Consider the following 24,609-nt stretch of genomic DNA (forward strand, 5'->3'; position numbering starts at 1 on the left):
GAAGATCACTTTCAACACAATAGACCCCTCTGCTGTAACAAAAGCAGCAGGCCTCTTTTTCCCCAAGTGGCTCCCTCCGATAGTAAATGAGCAACTAAGATTATTCCTGTACTAGAATGGCGTGAACGCAGGAGGCGGAGCTTGCAGTGAGCCGAGATCGTGCCACTGCACTCCAGCCTGGGTGACAGAGCAAGACTCCATCTCAAAAAACAAACAAACAAAAAGATTATTCCTGTACTATGCTTATTACCCCAGTGATGAAACAATCTGTACCCCAAACCCCTATGACACACAGTTTACCTGTATAACAAGCTTGCACATGTACCCCTGAACCTAAAATAAAAGTTAAAAAAAGATGATCCCTAGTGTTGTGCATGCAGTGAAGCTCTTCACCTCATCTGTGGGGGGCTAAATAATCCTCAACCTGTGCTCTGATACAAACTGAGACTGGCGAATGGTAACATCATCACAGAATAGCAGTGGGATGAGGATTATGGTGGTGACAATGATGACCATGTCATTTTAAACTAAACCCTTCCTGTTAATTAATGGCAGTGAAACCAAGTACCTAATGCAAAAAACAAGTATGCCCACTTTATAATCCCAATCAAGATACTAGGTATTAAAGCTGGTAGGTAGCTTTCTGTGAAACTTCTTACTGAAGAACCGTACCCTCTTTGGTTATCCAGTGCTTATCATACGCTATTGCTTGTTTAACTGCCTTGTTTTCCTACTGGGTTGCAAACTCTGGGAGGGCAGGGAGGACCACGTCTATTTCACTCACCTTTGTGTCCTCAGTGCCTGACAGGTAACTGATGCTCCATAAACATTGCTGAATAAGTTGATGAATAAGTGCTTTATAGCGGCTTGAATAGTGTCCCTCCAAACTTCATGTCCATGTGGAACCTCAGAATGTGACTTTATTTGGAAATAGGGTCTTTGTAGATAGATGTAATTAGTTAACATGCAGTCAACTGGATTAGGGTGGGCCCTAAATCTAATATGACTGGTGTCCTTGAAGAGAAGGAGAAGACACACAAGATACACATTTGAAAGAAGGCCATGTGAATATAGAGGCAGAGCTTGGAGCAATACAGCTACAAGTCAAACAACACTGAGGATTGCTGGGAGCCACTAGAAGCTAGAAAGAAGCAAGGAAGGATTCTTCTCTAGAGCCTTCAGAGGAGCGTGGCCTTCCGACATCTGGATTTCACATTTCTATTCTCCGGTACTGTGAGAGACTAAATTTCTGTAGTTATAATTTACCCAGATTGTAGTAATCTGTTCCAATAGCCCTAAGAAACTTCTTCATGGTTGAATAGGTATTTGTATAGAGTGTGCAAATTACACTATCACTTAAGTAATTCTTTGAATCAGTCTGATGGAACTAGAAAGGCCTTGGGAGATTATATAGCTTAATCTCATTATCATTTAAAAAAAATGCAGAGGAAAGTAAGACTCAGAGAGAATAAATTACTGAATTAGTACTAGAATTCAGGTCCTCTTTCTCTTGTACAAATATATCATACATACAATGCTTTGACCATTTTATAAAAATAATCCATAAGTTATTATGTGATTGTTAAAGCTTTGTTGATTATGTTATCTACATTTGTGTAAGTATATTTAAATCTTTTTTTAAAAAGAGTCTTTCTTCCCTTTATGATGGCATAAATCCTTCCTCCAATTTTTCTTCAAAAAACACTAATGCCAAAAAAGAAAATGAATTTTAAAAACAGCTAGCCAACATTCTTAAAGCTCAGACTCGTGGCCTCGTGGCCAGGCATAACAGAAGATAGGACTGGAATTTAGACTGAGTCTTAATTTCTAACCCTGACCTTTCTGTGCAAACCTAGTCAAGTCTCTATACCTCATATTTCCTCAGTGTAAAACTGCACACCATCTTTCTCCAAGGTCTTAGTGAAGAAATGAGGTCAGAAGTAGGAAAAAGCTCTGCAAAGATGAGAGACTGTTACTGCAAGTAGTACATTGAATAATACCATTCAACCTCCCTGCTACCCGTCCATTCTAAAAAACGGTTTGAGTTTAGGTTTTATTGCACCATATACAGGGCCAGATTAATATGCATGGGGGTCTTAGAAGCTAAAAATTGTCATCACCCAACACACAAGTAATTCAAAATATGTTTTACATTACTAAACTGTAAAATACATGTTTTATGACTTATTTTATATCTCATTAAGATGCTTTCCTTTGATGCATGTTTTGATGTTCTTTATCATTTTTGTAATATTGTCATTCCATCTTGATCTTTGACACTGTTTCACTGGCTTTCTAGGATGAAGGTCTGGCTGCCGCTGGGGAGCCCAGCCCTGAGGCTACATCACTTAAACTCACTGGAGCCCTCACTTCCCCACCTGTACAATATAGTACTTTGGGAATGAAGGCTCTCTAACCACAAGATCTTATTAAATTAGTATAAGAAGAATTAAAGTTCAGATTTGTTTGTCCATCTTTCTGTCAAGAAGCATGTGTTCTTAAATAGCATTTGCATGTTATCAAGCTAGGCAAACTTATAAAAATTAAGGTGCATTTCAGAATGAAAGGCCTACTGAAAAAAGATTTTAGTTATGCCAGGAATATTCCCCAATGTTTCTAGATTAGTGAACCAGATGATATGCCTCTTATAAATCTAATTTCCTGCCTTATTTGGTAGCCAAGTCATTGGAGAATTGGATGAAATATATCAAAATAAGAAGAAACGGAAATAGCCTAAGCCATGTGCTCTGAGTACGTAATTTTAGATCTCTGAACCACGTGCAGACACTGAACCTAATCACACTTCATAACCTCATAAATTCTCCCCTTCATTCTTTTGCTCTCTAATGCACCCATGAAATCTTAATTAGAAATCTATGTTTAAAAATAATAGGACTCTTCCAAGGTGGATTTTTTAATCCTAAAAATTACATTGGGGAAATCAAGGTTCATGAAGTTATGGTTAACATTAACTTTGATATGCTTTCTGAGATTTGAGTTACAGTGTGTGTGTATGTGTGCACACACATACTATAAAGTCAACATTTTAGTAGCAGTATGTTAACGGAAGCATGTTCATGGATAATGATAATAATAATCTTAGCATTTACAAAGCTGTGTATCAATTAATCCTCACCACAACCAAATTCCAGTCTTGGAAATGATTAAACTGATGCCCAGGGAATTTCAAGAAATTTACTTGGGGTCAAGAGGTAAAAGCCTGGACTGAAAAATTCTGGTTCCTGGCCCAGGGCACTCCCTTTATACTTCAATGAGTCCTCCAAAATCTGAGATGATGTTTTATAGCTTTGTATAAGCAAATGTTTTAATTCCTTTGTTTGAAAAGATTGGTTATCAAAAGCATGGGTGATTACAAACGAAATATACAAAGCATAGGATGGTAGAAAATTCAGTTTCAATCCAACTCTACCATGTATTTCATTAGTGACTATGGAAACATAAACCTTTCCACCTACAACTCAGCTGGGTTATTTTTCCCTCATTAAACAGTAATAACAACACTGTATGTAGCTCCTCTAACCCAAATGATGCAAAAGGATTAACTTTCATTTTCCATGAATGGAGAATCCCTGAAGTGGGGTAAGCTGTCATTTGAGAGAGAAGTAATTGCTATATATATATACATATATATATATACACACACACATACACATATATATAAAAGAAGAAGAAGAAGTGGAAGGCCAAGGTGGCCAGCCCCTAAACAAGGCTGGGTCTACTCAGTACTAGTAACCAGCAGCTGAGGTCAGAGAAGAGGAACAGAGAGATTGTATCCCTAGATCTATACCTAGAGCCTTTTGGCTTGTTTCCCAACTCTCCTCTGTGTGTGTATATTTGGATCTATATGTGCATACACGTGCAATATTTTCCAGCATCATCCCCATCCAAATTATTCTGTCCTATTTTGAATACCCAGATCAAAACATATATCTAAACACTTCATTTAGAAAATATCATCACTCTGCAAATAGTGAATAATATTAGCTGCCCCTGATATTGTTCATTCTCTTATTTGTGGATGAGCACTTGACTGCCTGAGAAGTTTTCTAATCAACTCTTCAGGAAAAGAGGATAAGCTGTCTTCAGACACAAGAGAATCGTTACTTTTACTGTGGTGCCCCCTAGTGCTGTTCAGATTAGACTCACTTTCTATATTTGCCAAAATACAGACTACACAAGAGAAGCAAAATTTGGAGAGGTAACAATGTTGGTAATTTTTCCTGTATTTCCTTTGGCGTAGGAGAGAATGAAGCGTGTTCCTTTAGCATGATTCACAAGATCCTTTGTGAACTGCTCCCCACCTCCCCAGCTTTTCAGCTTCATCTCCACCACTTTCCCACAGGAACACTCAACTTGAGCTATTCAGAAAAACTTGCTGTTCTGCCTAGTAAGCCTTCTACCCCTACCCACCAATTCCCATCCGCTTGTCTGCTTAAATAATTTATCCTCCTCCTTCTAGTATTAGCTGAAGCATTATCTCCTCCTGCAGGTTTTCCTGACTCCCCAGAAGGCTGAGGCAGCCCTCCCTCCTCCCTCCTCTCATCTTCCCATTGTCCCTTGAGCATGTCACTCTTTTGTCCCCACCCTGCATCTTGACTGTGAGTGTAAATAGTTCAAAAACCTTCTCCAATGGATGTTTATATCGCCAGTGCCTCAAATGGTACCTAGCACAAGTAAACACTCAATGGAAAAAAATCTGTGTAAGGATGGTTTCATTGATAATAAGAAGAACCATAGTGTAGGAATCAGGAGTTCTGGTGAATTAACCAGCTAAGTGGTCACGAATGGTTCACCTACCCTCTCTAGGTTTCTGTTTTCTTATCTGTAAATAGACTATATCTAATACCTGCCCCCAAATTCAATGATTCTATATGTTTAATACCTCCTTTAGAAGCCTCAAAATGCCTTATGACAAGCCAAGTCAACTTCAGATGTTAATTTTTTAATTCTCAAAGATTTGCTTATGAAAAGCAAATTCAAATGCCTTTGAAATTATCTTATTTGCAGGTCTATTGTTAAAAAAGAACTTCTAAAAACTTTCTAAATGACATGGAGACATTTAAATTAAGCTAATCTGAAACAATATTTTTTTCAGGCAAACTCCTCTTTCTCTTATTAAATGATACAAAGAAAGGTCCAAGTTGTAGCCCGAAACTTCATTAAGAAACTGTGAATTCTAATTCCAGCTTTCACTGATACAGAACTGGTCAACTCACTTTCTAAGTATCTCTACTTCTGTTGTTCCCAGCTGAAAAAAAAGTGATAAGAACTGAAAAAAAGTGATAAGTAGGAATTGCTGAAAAAAATCACTAAAAGCCTTCAGGTCTTTGAGCATGATGATAAAGGTGATATGAATCTTGGAAAAGCCAAGTTTCAATGGTTTCAGTGAGGTTTCTCACACCTTATAGGTCAGCTTTTTCTGCCTTTGTTCCATAGCTGAAGTTCCAGGTAAGACTGGAAGCCTGACAATTTAAGTGGATGTCCCAATGTAATATCCAAACAGTGTGTATTGGTTTTGGTGACAGAAGCACTGAATTATATACCTTATGTCATGAATATTCTTACAGGGCATTCACTTCTTTCCCTTTTCTAAACAGTGTGTTTTGCTAATCCAGAATAGGTTATTTAGATATGTACAGAATATATAACTTAAGTATAGAAAAGTACATATGTGCAAATTTGATTCCCCTCAATCCCTTCTTAGGAGCCAGGAAATCCATAAGCTTAAACACAAATATACTAACTCACATTTTGTATTTCTCAAATCCTTATATCCATTCTATGAATATATAAACTATATACTCATAAGATATTGAGCTGGAAGACATCTTATTGATCATTTGATCCTACTTTCTCATAATACAGATTATAAAAATCAAGGCTCAAAGAGGAAAGTAAATTAGATGAGGAGTGGGTAGGGTCTAACTTTTTTTCTAGCATCTTAAAAACAAAATATTCTGCATTTCCTGCATGTAGATAGACCTAACCCAGTGATGAGAAAACAGAGGCTACTAAATAAACTTGATTGAAAGGAAAGCTGACGGCCAAATGGAGCTTGGTAGCTATATCTGTATTTACAGAGCCATTCATGTAGGCAATTATTTTATAAGGCTAAAAAATTAAATCTAAGAAATAAAAGGGAAAATCACAATTATTTCCCAAAAACCTTTCTCTCACAATAAAAGAGGTCCAATTTAACTGGGTAAATGGTGAGCATTTCAGCTCTATTTCACCTCCAATACACATCACTGTAACATTATGTCTTATAAAATAGAGGTTTGACTTGCCTCATCACTACCAACACCACCACCACCACCACCACCCGATCCCTCAATCAAACTTCCAAACAGTATTGTAGATGAGTTTTAAATGGCTACTAGTCTATGTCTCTTTGTCAGCAGCTGCTCTACAATGTTCTCTCTCAATCTCTCTGTCTCTGTTTCTCTCTCTCTCTCAAACACACAGAAACACACACACACACACACACAAACACACACACACACACACTGCTGCTATCACTGCCACCAACATTATTTGGTAAACTATCAGGTTCTAGGGAAAACACACACAACCCATCTATGCTATCCTTCTCATAATGAAGTGTAAATAATAAATATAAGATTAAATGTAAGGACCCATTGTGCTGTCCCAGATCCTATAACAATATAAGAAATTACATTAGCTAATTAGAAATAAAAAAATTATAATTAACATCAAGTGAAGAACTTCAAATATCCTGAGCAAAAAAAAGAAATCTATTTTCAGAGTAGACAGGGCATGTTTCTTAAGCAAACAACTCAAATATACCACCTATGTCTTGCTTCCATCTCTGTGCCAGGACTATAGAAGCTAATTCTCCCCTAGAGATCACTCACCATGAGGTTTAGTGTCCTAGAAACCAGCACCCTGCTTTTCTTCCCACAGCTTTCCTTCTGTCCCAGAGTTGCTGGATGACTTGTTGGAAAGGATCCCCTCTTTTTCTCAACATCTCCTGGATATTGATAGTCCAATGTGACCCCAACCACCAGCAAGCTGTACAACTGTGGTTCACCTTTTGCTCTCTCCTGCTCAGAGCCGTTGTGCAATCAGTTAGCCTTGAATGGAGCCATGTGTCCTGTGTTTTATCATCCCATGGTGTAAGGAAATATGTAACACTGTGGTTGTTAGAAAAAGCACTCTCAGGGCTCCCAGACTGGTGAATGCACTCAGCTGTTCTATATTTGGTTACTCTCTTTGTTTTCTTCTCAAAAGAGCCTAATTCCGGTTGATGTCTTGGGCATCCGGTCGATGTCTTGGGCATCCTGCCATGGACACCTTACTCTTCCCCCACACCCTCTCCCCGAGTCGCCTACTTTAATTTCACCCAAAGAGTTCTGCGAGAAGACATAAGAGTGTGGTGTGATGAGGAGAGGATCAATGTGTTGTTGTGCTCACTGTTCTGCAGACCTGAGCATGACACTAGCTACACTTCTGGAATTTGGAGACACAAGCACTGTCTGTGGTACAGTGATCATAACCACACACACTCTTACCAGCCTCCATGCACTGAAAACCCTATTTCCTGTAGGCAGAAACAAGCCCAGGCATTTGCCAAGACTGCTCATCTCATTCTGGTTTCATTGGAGGTGCTTAATCTCAGACAAGACCATCAGAAATCAGTTTGTATTACCTGAACTTTATCAGGGAGAAACATTTCTAACCCAAAGCAACCACCTAGAAAACAAGATTATCAGACTAGCTCAACAAAGGAACACGAAGAGAGTATAGATTTATTTTTCTCCAGTGGCATCTTCTGCAGTGAAGAACATCCTTAAATACCTAATAATGTTTGTATATCTGAACTACTGAATAAGAAAAAATAATGCAAAAGAGAGAAGTGTGGAACAAGAATAAAGTGAAAGAAAAATGGAAATATTTTAACTATATGGGGAAAATACTAGAAGGATAATCTCCTACTACATGATGTATTTAATAAGGTAGGGAAAAGGTGAAATGATGTCTTTAAATTATGACTGGAAGAGATAGATTGTGAGAAACAATATCTGATTAAATCATTGGGGTGAATGAGTGAGCACATAGGCACACACACATGCACGCACACATTGCTCCGCTATTAATATTGATACCTTCAGCATTCTTTACAAAGAAAATCACCTTGCAGGTCTATAGGGTATATGAATATTATGGGAAAGTGGAACTGGTCTCTTTCCTATTTCCTTTTAATATTAATTGCCTGATCAAACACATTACTATCACAATGGGTAGACCAGGTATATCAGTGACTCAAAGCTTCAAAGTGACAGCTTATAAAGGGATACAAGGAATCTTGCATTGCAAAGAAAAAGAAAAAGATCTAGAAGCTGTGCCTCTGCCCTACCTCCACTCTGCCCTACCACTGCCACTGCTGAAAAGAAGGAAGGAAAGGAGAGACAGAAGGGCGTTTAACCACACTTTACGATTGCTGTGGGGAGAGGGAAAAAAAACTCAACACTTTTGGCATAAGATTATTTCCAAGCGACTGTTTGCAGCTGTTGCAGCTGCCATCAGCATGAGCTGGTGGGAAAACAGCGCCCAGTGGTGCATCTTACCTGAAGAGCAGAGAAGTGCAGGCAGATGTAGGTGAAGCACAGGAGCAGCCCCAGTCCCTGAATTACAGAGGCCACCAGCAATAGCTTGTTCCTCTCGAATCTTGGCCTGGCTGCATTTCCCACATTCTCTTCCAGGGGTTGGACCCTTTCCATCTTCACAATCTGGGTAGAGGGAAGATGAAGATATGGAAAAGGGGAACGTGCGATAAAACTGAAGTTTTCCCCAGAAAGAAGGAGGTAAAGACAAAACAAAGCCTATCAATCAGAAAATAGGCAAAGGTCCCAGGGCCAGAGATAAAAGGCGATTGAAAGAGCAAAGCGGACTCTCTCAGTTTTAACGCTGCAACTTTTGCAGGCAGGCGGGGGAACTTCTTTGTGACTAATCTGAATTTCCCCTTTACTTTCTTTCTTTTTTTTTTTCCTCTGGGCTAACAGGGAGTTGTTTTTGTGACATTCCAGTTCTGATTTGAGTGACTGTGAAATGACAGTCATAAAAGTATGCTATTTTCTTAACTTATTGCACCAGTAACAAATTGTGGGTCACTTGGTAAAGATAAAAATCATCATCCGTTAATGTAGCAGCTCATATATCCCTTCCCCAAGGTGTCTTAAATCATAGAAAAGATTTAGGGGAAATGCTGGCCCAAGGTTCTTATCTGCACTTTACTATGTAACTAAACATTGAACCCCTCTCACAGATTCAGAAAGAAAGCACACACAGATCATTCTTGAATGAAAAAGACAAAACAAGAAAATAGGACACTGGGTCATGCAGAAGTAAAGGAGAGATCCTTGGTTGTAGTCTATTGCATAAAAATAAACTACCTTTTGGAAGCATTTACTATGTGTCAGACACTGTGTTAGATGGACTTGCAATCTTTCTCTCATTTAACCCTTTGAGGCAAATTCAATAAACAATTATATGATTAATTTTCTGCATACCAGAAAAGAAGCAGAAGGGTATCCTTGTCTCCTTTCCTTCCACTTCACATTTTTCCCGTACATAATTTTTCCATGAATGAACAAATGAATAGATGTAAATAAGCTTTGAAGATTATTTCTTTCTTTGAGGTCGTGGCTGGCCTCAGAACTTGGAAAGTAAGAGTATTCTATCAATAGACACCAGGTACCCTTTACCACTAAAATAAACAATGAAATGAAATAAATGATAAAATTACTTATAATGTAAAGTTCAAATGGGCAAATATTTACTGAGTACATCACATGAGCCTGGCACTGTACTGGACAACATAAGGATGCTGGGGAAAAGCTGTTTAAGACGGAATTGTCTCTCTTTGTGGCCAAGTATGTCTCTCTCAGCTCCCCATGAGGCACCCAGCAGATATGTAAAGAAAGGAGGGAGAAATATTTTGGATATTGACAGTATGAGTTGTTATACCACTTCACAGAAAAAATGGAAATGAGGCATACTTAAAAGAGAAAGTTTGTGGGAAATGTAAAGTACATTTATGACTACAGTATTAATCAATTAAAATATGAATTAATACCTTCACTACAATAATTATGCCTTGCATTAGGAGAACATACTGGTGTTGAGAAATTTAAGTTTTATCTGAAAGATAAGGTAACTAAGGCACAATATCATAGACTCCAAGCCAAAACTAGAAATCAAATTGTATCCAAACATATTTGTCATAGTTATTCCCTTGAACAAAGCTTGTGTTACATACAGGGTGTGGAGAAAAAAGCTGAAGGAAAAATCAGTGTGTAAAGCCCAATTCTTGTGTAATAGTTCTTCATAAAAGAGTATTAAAATCAGTAACTATTTACTCGTCAATTTTCAAAAAATGACTAAGAGTCACAGCAAAAAAAAAAAAAGCCATAAATACTATTGGAAACTAGAAATAAGCTGAAAAAGTAGTAAAAACTATTCATGCTGAAAATCGTAGATAACATTTTTAAATTACTGTCAAAAGAATGAAAAAAATAAACATTTACCATGCACATACTTGTACCTTAAGCAGCATTTCTTCTCAGTGTTAATATCATGGCTCCGAGAAAGAAAAATCTTTGCACAGAGTCATCTCTACCCACATTTAGGCTAACACTTGGATGACACACCTCTCATTTTTATTGTCTTGTCGTCCTACTACCATATTTTGCCTAGTTGTAATTTTTGTTGATGTTTAAGTGATATTTTACACTTAATTGTCTCTTTTTTTATTGAACACGTTTTCACAGCTCTTCACATTCTTTGTGGGAAGAGATACACACACACCAGGCTGGAAGTTTCAGGCACAGATTTCTGATAGACTATCTAGGCATTCCAAAGTTCATCACTGGGCTAGTCTAGCATTTGAACAAATGAAATCACTATTAGAGTTATCATTGCTGACCTTTCAGTCTCAGGCACATAAGCAGAGTCCTCCATCTTCAAAACGTTTTTCAAAAAATAAAGCTTAATTGTTTTTAAAGGGGTCAAATACGTTACTAAATCTATGGGCAATTTTTTTCATTTGCATTTATTTATTTATTTTAGAGACAGGGTCTCACTCTGTTGCCCAGGCTGGAGTAGAGTAGCACAATCATAGCTCACTGTAATCCGGAACTCCTGGGCTTGAGCGATCCTCCTGCCTCAGCCTCCCAAGTAGCTAGGACTATAGACACGCAACACCAGGTCTGGCTAATTTCTTTTAAAATTTCTTGTAGAGACTCCCTATGTTTCCCAGGCTGGTCACAAATGCCTAGCCTCAAGCAATCCTCCTGCCTTGGCCTCCCAAAGCACTGGGTTTATAGGCATCAGCCACCAAGCCTGGTGGCAATTTTTCTTAAAGTATCTCACAAATATTAAATACATAAGCACACCAGAGCAAATCAGCCTTAAAATAAAGCCACAGGATGTAAAATAAACCAAAGTAATTATCTTCCCATAGACTATTAACCTCCTAAATGAATAGCCATTTCAAGACTACAGAAAATATGGAAAAGAAAAGGGCTTTGACCACTCACAAGATACCTCATGTTCAGAAAGAAGCAAAAAACATTTGGGTTTTTTTTTTTTCTTTGGTTTGAGGGTTTTGTTGTTGTTTGGATTTTTTGGTGTCTGGGTTTTGGTTTTGGGGTTTTTTGGTGATAAAAAAAATCTACATTTTTCATTTATCTCTAAGTCAGATTTTCATTTGTCCATTCAACAAGACTGAGCCAAATACTAGAGGAAAAGACACAAACAAAACACATTTTTAGTCCTCAGGGAGGTCACAGACAGGAAAGCGGAATCTCCACAACCTGGAAAGTTCTGGGTCCTAGGTATCAGTGCAGAAGGGAAGGGTGCAGGGGGACAGGTGCTAATCTACACTGGAATTAGGACAGGAACAGCTTCCTTGATCTGGGAGAAACGAGAAGCAGTCTGGCCATCTGGGGCACTGGGGAGGGGCAGTGCCTGTTGGGCCAGGAGTGAGGGCAGTGGAGCCTGTTTGTGCAGTGTCAGTTCAGGGAACTACAGCTGAAGAGGAAGATGGTGAAGGAGAGTGGCTGCTGGAGAAGAGGCTCAGAAGAATCTGTCGTAAATGGACTTTTGTTACAAGTTAAGGACTTTGGACTTCATGCTGCAGCTACTGGAGAAACATGGAGAGGTTTGAAGCAGAATGTGATATGATATGATATGATTACATTTTAGAATTACAAAAAAAATCACTCTGACTGAGGGAAATAGAAATGGCAGGTACTTCAGGAAATAATTCTAGGGGGGGGAAAAGAGACAGATATGGCAAGGCAGGATCAAGTTGGCCAACTGGGAGACATTTCCAGGGTGCTCTGTGCCAGCTGAGGGAATGAGTGAGATCTAAAATTCCACCTCTGCAGTCAGCTCTCTAAGCCCTCCATCCTGGTACAGGAAGTTTCCTCCTGCAGGAAGGGATATGTTTATCATCCCACAAAGGTGAACTTTGCTTCCTAAGCCCTGAACAAAGGGCTGTACTCATTTAAATGCAGGCTCTTTTTCTAATTTATAAACCCGCAGGGGGTGCCTTGTTCTAAAACACACAAAGACAGTGGTATAAGCTAGGGACCTTGAGTCTGCAATGATTCAAGTGAGAAATAAGGTCCTAAACTAAAGCAGGGAGGACACAAATGGAGAAGACACTTACAGTGGCTCTTCATTCACCAGACATTCTGAGAGTGTACTCAGTGCCAATCTCTGAGCATACACAGGGAGTCATAGATAAACTCTGCCCTGGGACAAGTGATAGAGTGATGTCGGAGGTGACAGAAACAAATGCATTTTCAAATGTCAAAATCTGATTTGTAATCTGCCTTTTCAACCTATTCCTGATCCTAATGTCACTGTCCTGGTTAATGTTTTTGTACTCCAGGACCTCAAAATCCAAGAATCAACTTTGAATCATCCTCGTTCCCAGTCATCAAGCTTTGTAGGCTAGCCCTGCAATGCAGTTTTTTCTTTCCTCCTCTTTGCCATTCCTATTGCTTCTAATCCAAACTCTTATTACTCCTCACTTGAGCTCCTGCAGTCAGCTCTCCAAGCCCTTCATCCTGGCACAGGTTTCCTCCTGCAGGAGTTCCAAGTTTTCCTTCCAAACTTATCTCCCTCTATTTTCTGATTATTTCTAATATTCACTCTGCCTCAAACACCCTTACCCTCCACCTCTGACTATCAAAACCCTACACGTTACACATTCCCCATGAAGGGCTGTCCTGTGAGGTAGTGAGCTTGCTGTGTTCTAGAAGTACTAAACAAAACCTTGAAGAAATTCTGTTCAGAGAATTCTAGCATTGAGTAGATTGTTGATAGGATCAGTGGCTCCCAAAGCCTAGTTTATCATCTGAATCACTAGGAGAACTTTTTAATGATTCTGACTCCTAATACCTTCACTCTAGAAATTCTGATTCCTTGGGTGTCTTAGTCTATTTTGTGTTGCTGTAAAGGAATACACAAGGCTGGGTAACTTGTAAGGAAAAAAAGGTTTATTTGGCTCACAATTCTGACGGCTGCAACATTCAAGGTTGAACATTTGCATCTTGTGAGGGCCTCATGGTGCTTCTACTCATAGTGGAAGGTAAAAGAGAGCTAGAGTGTGGAGATATCACATGGTAAGAGAGAAAGCAAGATACAAGAGAGAGGTGCCAGGCTCTCTTTAACAACCAGCTCTTGCAGGAACAAATACAGTGAGAACTCACTCACCCCAAAAGGAGGGCATTAATCTATTCATGAGAGACCTGCTTTCATGACCCAAACACTTCCCATTAGGCCCCACTTCCAACACTGGAGCTCAAATTTCAACATAAGGCTTGGAGGGGACAAACATCGAAACCATAGCAGTAGGTTTGGAGTGATGCCTTTTGAAGCCATATTTCTAAAATAGTCCATAAGAGCCAGACTTGTGAATCTCCCTAAACAACCACTGAAGGTCTCTTTCACCATTACTTTCTATGATAGGAAGCCTCACCCGGATTTCCCAGAAGAATGCAGCTGTTTTCACCTCTGTGTTGAGAGCATTTATTATGCTCTGTTTCATCTTGTAATTCTTTAAATCTATTTCACGGGGAGGAGGGAGGAGGTGGGGATGGTTAGTGGGTACAAAAAAAAAAAAAAGAAAGAATCAAAAGACCTACTATTTGGTAGCACAATAGGGTGACTATAGTCAATAATAACTTAATTGTATATTTTTAAATAAGTTAAAGAATGTAATTGGATTGCTTGTAACTCAAAGGATAAATGCTTGAGGGGATGGATATCCCATTCTCCATGATGGACTTATTTCACATTACATGCCTGTATCAAAATATCTTACATACCCCATAAATACATATACCTACTATGTATTCACAATTTTTTAATTAATTTAAAACTTTTTTAAATAAAAAATAAAATAAAAATAAAATTTCAAAAATATACATAAATAAATAAATCTATTTCAGTCTCCCCCATGATGCTGCAAGTTCCTGAGGTTAGGAGTCCTATATTGTACTCTCAGAGGGCCAAATTGAATTTGCCTGCAATAGAGCTGAAACACACTGTTCACAGGACCAGAAATAATGAGAGTCTAAACAATACTGAAAACAGCACTATTAAATACAGAAGTCTCCTGGTAGCTGGACTTTGATCTTAGAGGTGAAAGATTAGCAAACCTGAAATGTACACTTTTCATTGAAACCGGATGCACACCATTAGTTCAAATACAAATGTGAACTCCTGTGATGATATTCCATTTGGGTTTCAGACTCACTAGTCTCTCACTTGTCAACCCCTTTTGTTCTGATGCCAATTTTCCCTTTCATTCTTCATGTTGCTTAGTTTTGTTTTTTTTTAAATCTTGACCACTGGCAGTTATTTTAGGGCATGATGACAGATTCTAAAACTTAGTGGCACAAAACAGCTACTGAAATTTTTCTCTGAATGGAACTGTACCCATGATGTGCCACACCATTATAGAAAGCAAATATCTAGACAGACTTTTGACACACAAAAAATTACATTTTAAATTGCGTATTTAAAATATGTGTGCAACGACAAGAACATGTAAAAATCTATAAGTACATTTTTCAACTCACAATAGGATATAAGCAATTTTCTTTTTCAAAAAAATCAACTTTATTAAAATATAATTTTAGACAATAAATTGCATTATTTAAAGTGTACAATTAGATGAGCTTTCACAATTGTATACACTCACAAAACCACCAACACAATCAAGATAAACTTAATTCATCTTCAAAAGATAATTTTCTTTAAATAGAAATCATTCCAAAAGGAAATCTATACTGAATATATGAGACATTAATCCCCTCTTCTTTTCAGAATAAATCCAACTGAGTATAAATTAGAATTAGCATAAACCTATGTTTCTCAACTAAGGGTAGATTTGCCCCCTAGGGGTCATTTGAAAATATTTAGAGACATTTTTGTTTATCTGGATTGGGGGTAGGGTGCCACTAGTATCTAGTGGATAGAGGCTGGAGATGTTAATAAACATTCCACTCAGACAATACCTCACCGCCATCAACAACAAAGGACTATCAGCCTAAAATGTCAAGAGTGCTGAGGTGGAGAAACCCTGATGTGGATACATCCATGCTCATAATTGATTAGGAATGAGGCAATACAATATTCACTCTCTGAGTTTTTGCATATGTTTATTGTCCTGTCTGAAACACCTCTCCACTCCTCAGCAACCACCCTATGAAGCGGGTACTATTTTCTCCCCATTTTACAGTTGAGACGAACTGAGGCTTAGAGAGATGAACTAACTTGGCCAAGGTCACACACTTAGTACATGGCAGAGCTGGTATCCGAATCCAGCTTTGTTTACTCTGGAGCCTGTTCTTAAACTGTGTGTGATACTACTGATCTTTTTAAATGAAATATAAGTTCTGCATCTGGCCTAGATGCCCAGTAAAGTTTATCTAAGCAGATATTAATACACCAAATGCACACAGCTACTAATCCAGTAAGAAAAAAATAACTTCTTCCTGTCAATTCGATCAAGGGTGTTCAATCTTTTGGCTTCTCTGGCAACACTGGAAGAAGAAGAATTATCTTGGGCTACCATACAATACAATAACACTAATGATAGCTAATGAGCTAAAAAAAAGAATTGCAAAAATGTCTCATAATGTTTTAAGAAAGTTTATAAGTTTGTGTTGGGCTGCACTGAAAGCCGTCCTGGGCCACATGTGGACCACAGGCCACGGGTTGAACAAACTTAAATTAGATCTTTTCTTTTCAGATTATTGATGAATGGGAGTACATCTTCCATTTATTGTGTGCTTTCTCTGTGTCAGGCACAAAAGCTTTCTTTCATTCAATCCTCCTGCGAACACTCTGCCTGGTTATTACTAACACATCTTTAACACAAGGAACCAGAATCTCAGGGTAACCTAAGCACAACAGCATTGGGAGTTAAACCAAGATCATCTGGGTTTGCCTGCTTGTTTAACTGTACCAGACCACTCAATTGCTGGTGTTATGGCCTGAATGTTTGTGTTCCTGCAACCCCCGACCCCAAATTCATATGTTGAAGCCCTACCTCCAATGTGATTGTATTTGGAGATGGAGCCTTTGGAAAGTAGTCGAGTCATGAGGGCAGGGCCCTGGTCTGATGGAATTTAGGGCCTTTAGAAGAAAAGACACCAGAGACCTTGAGCCATCTCTCTCTCCACCAAGTGAGGACACAGCAAGAAGGTGGCCGTCTGCAAGCCAAGAAAAGAACCCTCACCAGAACCCAACCATGTTGGCACACTGATCCAGAGTTCCAGCCTCCAGAACTGTGAGAAAATAAATTATTGTTGTTTAAGCACCCACATTATGGGTGTCTTATGGCAGCCCAAGCAGACTAAGATGGCTGGAAATTATAAAATTGTACCAAAAGAGCATTGCTTCTTGAAGTTTCTCTAACTTCTTCTGTGATAACATGAATTTTATCCTCTGTGGTAACAAGAATTTTACCTATCATTCTCTATGATAACAAGAATTTTATCCTGTTACCTTCGATGTCCTTATAAGAATATTCTTAAATGTCTTTCCTATTTTGGAGCTAGAATAAAATAGTCTACGTAATACACTAAGCAGCATGTCTAGACAGAGTAGGCCTATGCAAATGTTATGGTGTTGCAAAACAAACAAACAAAAAACCTGTAAGCCTTTTTAGTGTTTATTGTTTCACTGACATATGTTGCATTAAACATCTCTTAAAGCTTTCTTCAGGTGCAATCAGCAATCATCAACATCTTTATCCCAATCATAGCATGAGACACTGAACCCCAGTAAGCTCTAGTTTTAAAATTGCCTCAAATCCTCAATGGGATTTACCTCTTGGGGTTGCTATAGGGTTTACATGGGACAATGTTTACACCCATTAGCACTGTCTTACAAATAGAAGGTGCACAATAATTGCGATAAGTGTGGTCTGTGGTCTGTGTCCACAAATGGCTGCATCCACGTCACTCAGGAGCTTGTTAGAAAAGCAGAATCCCAGGCCCCACCCCAGACCTATCAAATCAAAATCCAGATTTTAAAAAGATTTGCATCCACATGAAATTTGAAAAGCACTTAGTTAAATTATTAACAGAAAGAGTGAGTTCATAAAGACTCAGAAGACTAAGCGCAGATCCCTGACAAGACACTAGAAACTTCCTTCCATAACAACATCTTACATCTTAAAACATACATGAGTTTTGGCTGAGCCCCATCCCCACCCTAGGCATCAGCAGGGTAGGAATCCCCTTACATGGGCATCTACCCTCATCTATGCACCCAATTCATCCCCTTAATTCCCTTCTTTCTCCAGCCCAGGGATCTTTACACCATCAGGGGGCCAGAAAGCTTTCCACTTACTCATCGAACATTTTCTGCTCCCCTTTGGGACAGAGCTTTTGAAACTCTAAAGTCAAGAGAATCTTTTTTTCTGCTTTGTGCCACCACATTCCTTCCCCCAAAGGTAATGAACATAGGCAAGCTAACTAAATGGGGCCAGGAAATAAAAGGAAATAGCCAGGGAAAAAAATAAATTATTAATTTCAAAATAGTGCCCTGCCACATAAAGAACCAAATGAATGGTTCCTTATGATCAGAGACTGAGGGTGGATGGAGAGAAGTATAGCAATGAGCCATGATTTTCTCTCTCTCTCTTTTTGGAGGTAGTATTCCCTATCTCCACACTCATTACCACTGTATACAGTTTGTTCACCCCTTTCTGCCTCCTTAAGCTGTGCTCAGAAGTCTTTGGGGTATGTCCTTTCTGCAAATCTCACACATACACAAACACACACATGAAAAACAAACAAACAAACAAAAACCTCTTCAGCTTTCTACAAATTGGCTCAGGGAATTACTGTAGACCTTTCCTTCCTACTGTCTGCCATGTTCCCTGGTGTTTTCTGCTGTTCTTACCCTTATTCTTCCTATGTTGGCTCAAATTCGCCCTGGTTATATTTGGAAGAGATCTCAACTTTCTGCTTCATCACTGACCCAGAAGTCCCAAAGGATGTCCTTATAGGAATTGCCCAAGCTCCAGGTCCCAAAAATCCCTCTCCCCAGTGTTCAACCCTGTTTCTTACCACACCACCTCCCGTCTGCTCCGGACTCAGTTTGGGGAAGAATAATTACACTCTTCTCTTAGCACAGACCATAGTCTGCCCTGTGTCAGGGTTATGCATGTATGTGCTTGTCTCCCCTGGGTGGAGAAACTCCAAGACCCATTCATCTTCATATTCCCCTGCTTATTCCAGCACTAATCCATAGCTGTGCTCAACACATGAACAGAATAGACTGGATTGTGGGGTGAAGTTTTATTCAGAGTTCCTTCTTTCCTTCTGCCCCTTCAGCTCCCCACTGTTCTCTGATCCTACCTTGATTTTATTTTTGACACTCTGGGCAAAAGTCAGATCTGTATGCAAGTAAAAGCATTACTATTTCTAATTGAGCAAGTTATTTAGCTCCTATCTTTCATTTAGTCATCCACAAATGATAGATAAATAAATATAGGTAGAAGGCACACACCTTCTACCGTGCCTGATACATATTAGCATTCAATAATTGTTAGTTATCACTATTGTAGCTTAAAATTGACCATGATGAGAGTATTTATACCATGGAAATTGGTAAACATTATAAATTTTTTCAGAGAGCTGCTTTACCAGCAAATGACTAGGCTAGTGCCACATATCTAAATGATAATATTTTGGATCTATTATGGTAAATAAAACACTATTACAATTAATTTTATCTGTTTCTTTCAATTTTTTTGATATGACTGCTACAAAACAAAATTTTCTGAGACAAGGTCTCACTCTGTTGCCCAGGCTGGAGTGGCATAATCACGACTCACTGCAGCCTTGAACTCCTGGGCTTAAGCGTCCTCCCACCTCAGCCTCCTGAGTAGCTGGGACACAGGAACGTGCCACCATGTACAGCTAATTTTTTTTATTCTTTGTAGGGACAGGGTCTCCCTATGTTGCCCAGGCTGATCTTGAACTCCTGACCTCAAGCAATCCTCCCGCCTCAGCCTGCCAAAGTGTTGGGATTATAGGCGTGAACCACCATTCCCAGCTGAAATTTTTGAATTACCTTGTGATATTTGTATTGGACAGTGCTGGGCTAGATAGACCCTAACACACATGGTAGGATGATGCCGTCACACCTCTCAGTGTGGTTCCCCAGGTATTTCTAGGAATACCAGGGAGCACTCATATGCTCCACAAATTGGTCCAGGCTGATGCTTGTCACCTCTGTCAGCTGTTCTCTCTCTGAACTGTTGTTCTTCCTGAATCTTCAGGTCCCTCCCATGATCTAATCACTTTGATATTCCAGACTGACCTCTCTATTTGCTTGTTCCTATGTGCTGTGGGTTAGGTCCCCTCCACGGGTACTAGAAATGACTAGTCTCAGCACCCAAGAGCTCAGTACACCATTTCAAGGGCCACCGCCCACTTCCTCACAGCTTTCAGATGGCAGTGGGAAAGCCAACTCAGTGCCCATCAATGAAAAAATTCCCAAGACTCCTTATACTCAGAAGCCCCCTCTCCTTTCACACTCTCTCTTCAGTTACTATGACCCAGTCTTCCATCCCTGCCCCAGATATGAGGAACAAAATTCCCCTAAAATTTAAAAAAAAAAAATTCCCTACTTCTAACCCTTACATTACATCGAAGCTCCTCTATAATGTGTAAAATGTGGCATTTGGTTATTGCCAACTTAGCAAATATATATAAATTTTTTTTTCATTGATCTCTTAGTTACTGCTTAGAAAAATAAAAGACAGAAAAGTGTATTCATTTTCTTTTATTACTTGTATAGGAGATTGGTTAATACTAACAACTTATGTAAGCCATAAGAAACATAAAATATATGTAATAGATTACATACTAAACTGAGAAAGTCCCAAGTAACCACAAATTAGTCCCTTTCTAACCTCCTCACACCTTCCCACTCCCACCAAAAGAACTTTAGCTGCATCATTTCCCTTGGGAATAGGGTTGGGCAGAGGATGAGAGCCAATTGCCAATTGTATTATATTCAAATTCTTTTTTTTTCATGGAAAAACTGTCTTGTTTATTTGATTAAACAAAAATAAAATAAGCTTCATAGGAACAATTTTAAAGTCCAAAGAGACACCTACTTTGTTTTAAGGCTGTAGTAGCTGATACAGCATCTCCTTGCTACCTTCTCTAGCCTTCTCTGTGGACCACAGCAGTACATTCAGAAGCCTGCTAGCTAACACAGGAGTTTTTGAACACTTTTCCATTGGTTAAATTCTTTATCACTGCATAAGGGTGGTTATCTCGAGGTTTTTATTGACTTAAATATAATCCTCAAGAGACTAGTAAGAAATACTTGCTTGTAGACCATTTCACAACACCTGGTTTTCCCTGGAAATTAGTGACTATTTACCTTTAAAGATCATCTGTTTTGTTGGCTTGAATGTAGTGAAAAGGGGACACTTTTACACTGCTGGTGGGAATGTAAACTAGTAGAGATTCCGTAAAGAACTAAAAGTAGAACTACCATTTGATCCAACAATCTCACTACTGGGTATCTCCCCACAGGAAAAGAAGTCATTATATGAAAAAGACACTTGGACACACATGTTTATAGCAGCACAATTCACAACTGCAAAAATATGGAACCAGCTCAAATGCCCATCAATCAACAAGTGGATAAAGAAATTGTGATACACACACACACACACACACACACACACCATGCAATACTACTCAGCCATAAAAATGAATGAAATAATGGCATTTGCAGCAATCTGGATGAAATTAGAGGCCATTATTATAAGTGAACTAACCCAGGAATGGAAAACCAAACATTGTATGTTCTTGCTCATAAGTGGGAGCTAAGCTTTGAGGATGCAATGGCATAAGAATGATACAATGGACTTTGAGGACTCAAGGGAAATGGTGGGAGGGGCTGAGGGATAAAAGACTAAACATTGGGTACAGCGTACACTGCTCGGGTGATGGGTGCACCAAAGTCTCAGAAATTGCCACTACAGAACTTATCCATGTAACCAAACAAAACCTGTTCCCCAAAAACCTATTAAAATAAAAAAAAATTGTAAAGACTAAAAAAAAAATCTATTCACCTTCCCAAAACAAAGGGATTTTATTCAAAGTGGTTTCTTTGCAGTAGAAACTCAGCAACCTTCAAATATCGTTCTCTTGATGAAAATAAAGTTTTTTTTAAAAAAAAGCAAAATTTCTTCTGCTACTCTGAGCCCCCAGATAAAACTGAATTGGATCTCAGGGCTCAGAATATTTCTCTTAGCAAAAACTCAAGGAGCAGTTAAAAGATAAAGGAAATTAACCTGTTTTAAACATAGGTAGGTACTGCACACAAGCTTTGAATTTTGCTTACTTTGCTCATTTGCACATTTTTTCATTACTAAAAACTATTTATTCAGTTCCTCCTAAAGAGCAAATACAGTGCCTACTCTCTTAGAGTTTATATTCCTGTTGGAGAAAATAGACAATAACTGTATGCACAGAAAAATGAATAATCTTAGTGTTATGGACTGAATATTTATGTTCTCCAAAAATTCATATGTGGAAGCCTTAATCCCCAATGTGATGGTATTTGGAGGCTTTGGTATGTAATTAGGTCATGAGGGTGGGGGTGCCATGATGAACTTAGTGCCCTTACTAGAAAAGACACAAGAAAGATGATCCCTCTGCCATGTGAGGATACAGCAAGAAGGTGGCTATCTACAAATCTGGACGAAGGCCCTCACCAGACAATGAATCTTCTGGCACCTTGATATTGAACTTCCTAGTTCTCCAGAACTATGAAATATAAATGTTGTTTAAGCCACCCAAACTATAGGATTCTGTTATAGCTGCCTGAACTGACGAAGACAATTAAAAAGTGGTTAAATGCTGTGACCCACATACTCACACTCACCAAAAAAAATAAAATAAACAAACCCAAAACCCACAGAGTAATGAAATAGACAGGGACAAGAAGGGGCATCACTTTGATTGGGCCATCAAAGGCCTCTCTGTGGAGATGATAGTGGAGCAAAGCCTTCACATGGGTCAGTCAGGGAAAGAGCTAGGGGAAGGAAGAACATTCTAGGCAGTAGGGCTGGTATTGGTAAGTCTGAAAGCCTAAGACAAAAACAACTTTGGCATGCCTGAAGAAAAGAAAGTGGCTACAGCAGAGTAAAGCAGGTGTGAGGACAACTAAGTAATAGGCCATAGCATTAACAAGTAGGCAGGGGCTAGACTGAATGGAGCCTTTGGATCATGAATTTTACGGAAAGCCATTGGAAGGTTTCAATTAGGAGAGTGATTTCAGATTCATGTTTTTAAAAGCCAGTTGGCTTTTGCGTGGCAAAACAGACCACAATGGAATAGGAGTTAAAGCAGAGAGATGAGTTAAAGGACTCTCAGATAAGATGTAAAGTGGCCCAGATAAGATGTAAAGTGCCTTGACTTCTAGGCCATGGCAAAAGAGGGTGACGAATTATCAGATCTGGGATATACTTTGGAGGCAGAGCAATAAGACTTACTGGATTAGATACGGTAAGTAATGGAAATTAAGGCATCAACGATAACTTGTACATCATTGGGCTGAGTAACTGTGTGGTGGTGCCATTGACTGAGATTAAGGGGAAGACCAAAGAGGAGCAGATAGGGAGAGGCAGTTTGCAAATGAAGAGCTCAGTTTTGCACAGCTCCTCATATAAGCACCACAATAATTATCCAAGAGTCATTTTCTTTTACTCATTTTATAGACAAGGAAACTAAAGCACAGAGAGGTTATGCAACTTGGCCTTGGTCACTTGGCTAACTCATTTTATGTGATATTTTTCTTTACACAGTAGCATAGAGGTTAAGGTTGCTGAATCCTAATCCTAGGGCCACTATTTACTAGTTGTATGACCCTTGAGCAAGTCACTTAATTTCTCTAAACCTTGATTTTTCTCCTCTTAAAGTTGGAAGTTTTCTTGTCAAGGCTTTATGTAAGGGTTAAGTGAGGCAAAGCAGGCAATGTGCATGGCATAGCATACAATAAGTGTTCAATAAATATTAGCTATTCTTATAGTCAGTCATCTCCAAAGCTACAGTAGCATTATAATCCTGGATTTACTCCAACTAAAAGAACTCATCAAGGAGGTATATTTTCTCCCTCCAATAGATCACCAGTGTGTGGTCCTTGTCTTACTTCTTATTATTTTGACTACAGATCAGAATGAAAACCTTGGTCTCCTATAATGGGTACTCTCCCATGGGTGGGTGGGTAGGGAGTACTAAATGAAACCTAAAATAAAGCCTGACTAAGTAAAGGAAACATTTGAGGCAAAAGACAAGATATGAAAACTTCACCAAAACGGTCTGAAATGACAAAGGGAAAAAGTCCCAACCTTAATCAGGGAAAGTTAGTTGCATCAATAAAGAAAAATAACCACACACGATACAATCAGGCAATTGAGATCTTGATACTGGAAGGCCAAAGGTTGGGAGTATTCAAGAGCATTTCCCCAAGACTGACCTCAGAGGAAGGACTGGTTTAAAATTAGCAAGATTTAGAGGTTTTAGGTTAAATGCATACAAATTTCCTTCCCTGGGCCCTCATAGGTGCAGCAGCCTCTTCCATCAAGCAAAGTACATCCTAACATATGAATACCTTTGTGATATGGTCTCTCCTCTGTCACAGTACATACTTTGGCAAGAATGAACTACAATGAAAAATGAGTGCCCACTAAGGTTGGAAGGAGGGTGATCCTTCTGATTAGTCACCATAATGGTGTCTTTTTAATAGCTATTAAAGGTGAAATGAAAATATGATCGTTAAAACTGGTACAAAAAGCTATCAGAGGAAGTGGGGTAAAAGCAAGACCATGGTGAGACATGTAGAAATGAATCATCAAATTGTAATGCCTCTTTTCAGTAATATAGGGCCCACTCTTACCCCAGACAAAGGCCCATCCTTGACAAGGCTTTCTCCAGTTCAAGCAGGGCTACACCTCTGGGTGGAGTCTCTGGTTCCTGCAGTCTGGGGAGACAGTCTAATGTAATG

General features: G+C 38.9%; 1 protein-coding gene across 7 annotated transcripts in view, besides 1 other annotated feature; it reads right to left on the bottom strand.

Annotated features, from left to right (window-relative positions):
* The window catches only part of TNFSF4 (TNF superfamily member 4), a 277,864-nt gene that overhangs the window by 25,545 nt on the left and 227,710 nt on the right, over nt 1-24,609 (bottom strand). For 2 of the 7 annotated variants that reach the window (XM_047429896.1, XM_047429902.1), the window contains exon 3: nt 8,610-8,771. In XM_047429896.1, the coding sequence (XP_047285852.1) occupies nt 8,610-8,771 (162 nt within the window). The other 5 variants (XM_011509964.3, XM_047429908.1, NM_003326.5 and 2 more) reach the window with 5 other exon arrangements.
* Nucleotides 8,849-8,908: an enhancer, noted in NCBI's record as "active region_2098". NCBI's record gives its function as "activates an Ori minimal core promoter by ATAC-STARR-seq in GM12878 lymphoblastoid cells {active_cell/tissue: GM12878}" and the evidence as "EXISTENCE:reporter gene assay evidence [ECO:0000049][PMID:35858748]".

The sequence above is a fragment of the Homo sapiens genome, chromosome 1 (genome assembly GCF_000001405.40).
Source record: "Homo sapiens chromosome 1, GRCh38.p14 Primary Assembly".
NCBI lineage: Eukaryota > Metazoa > Chordata > Mammalia > Primates > Hominidae > Homo > Homo sapiens.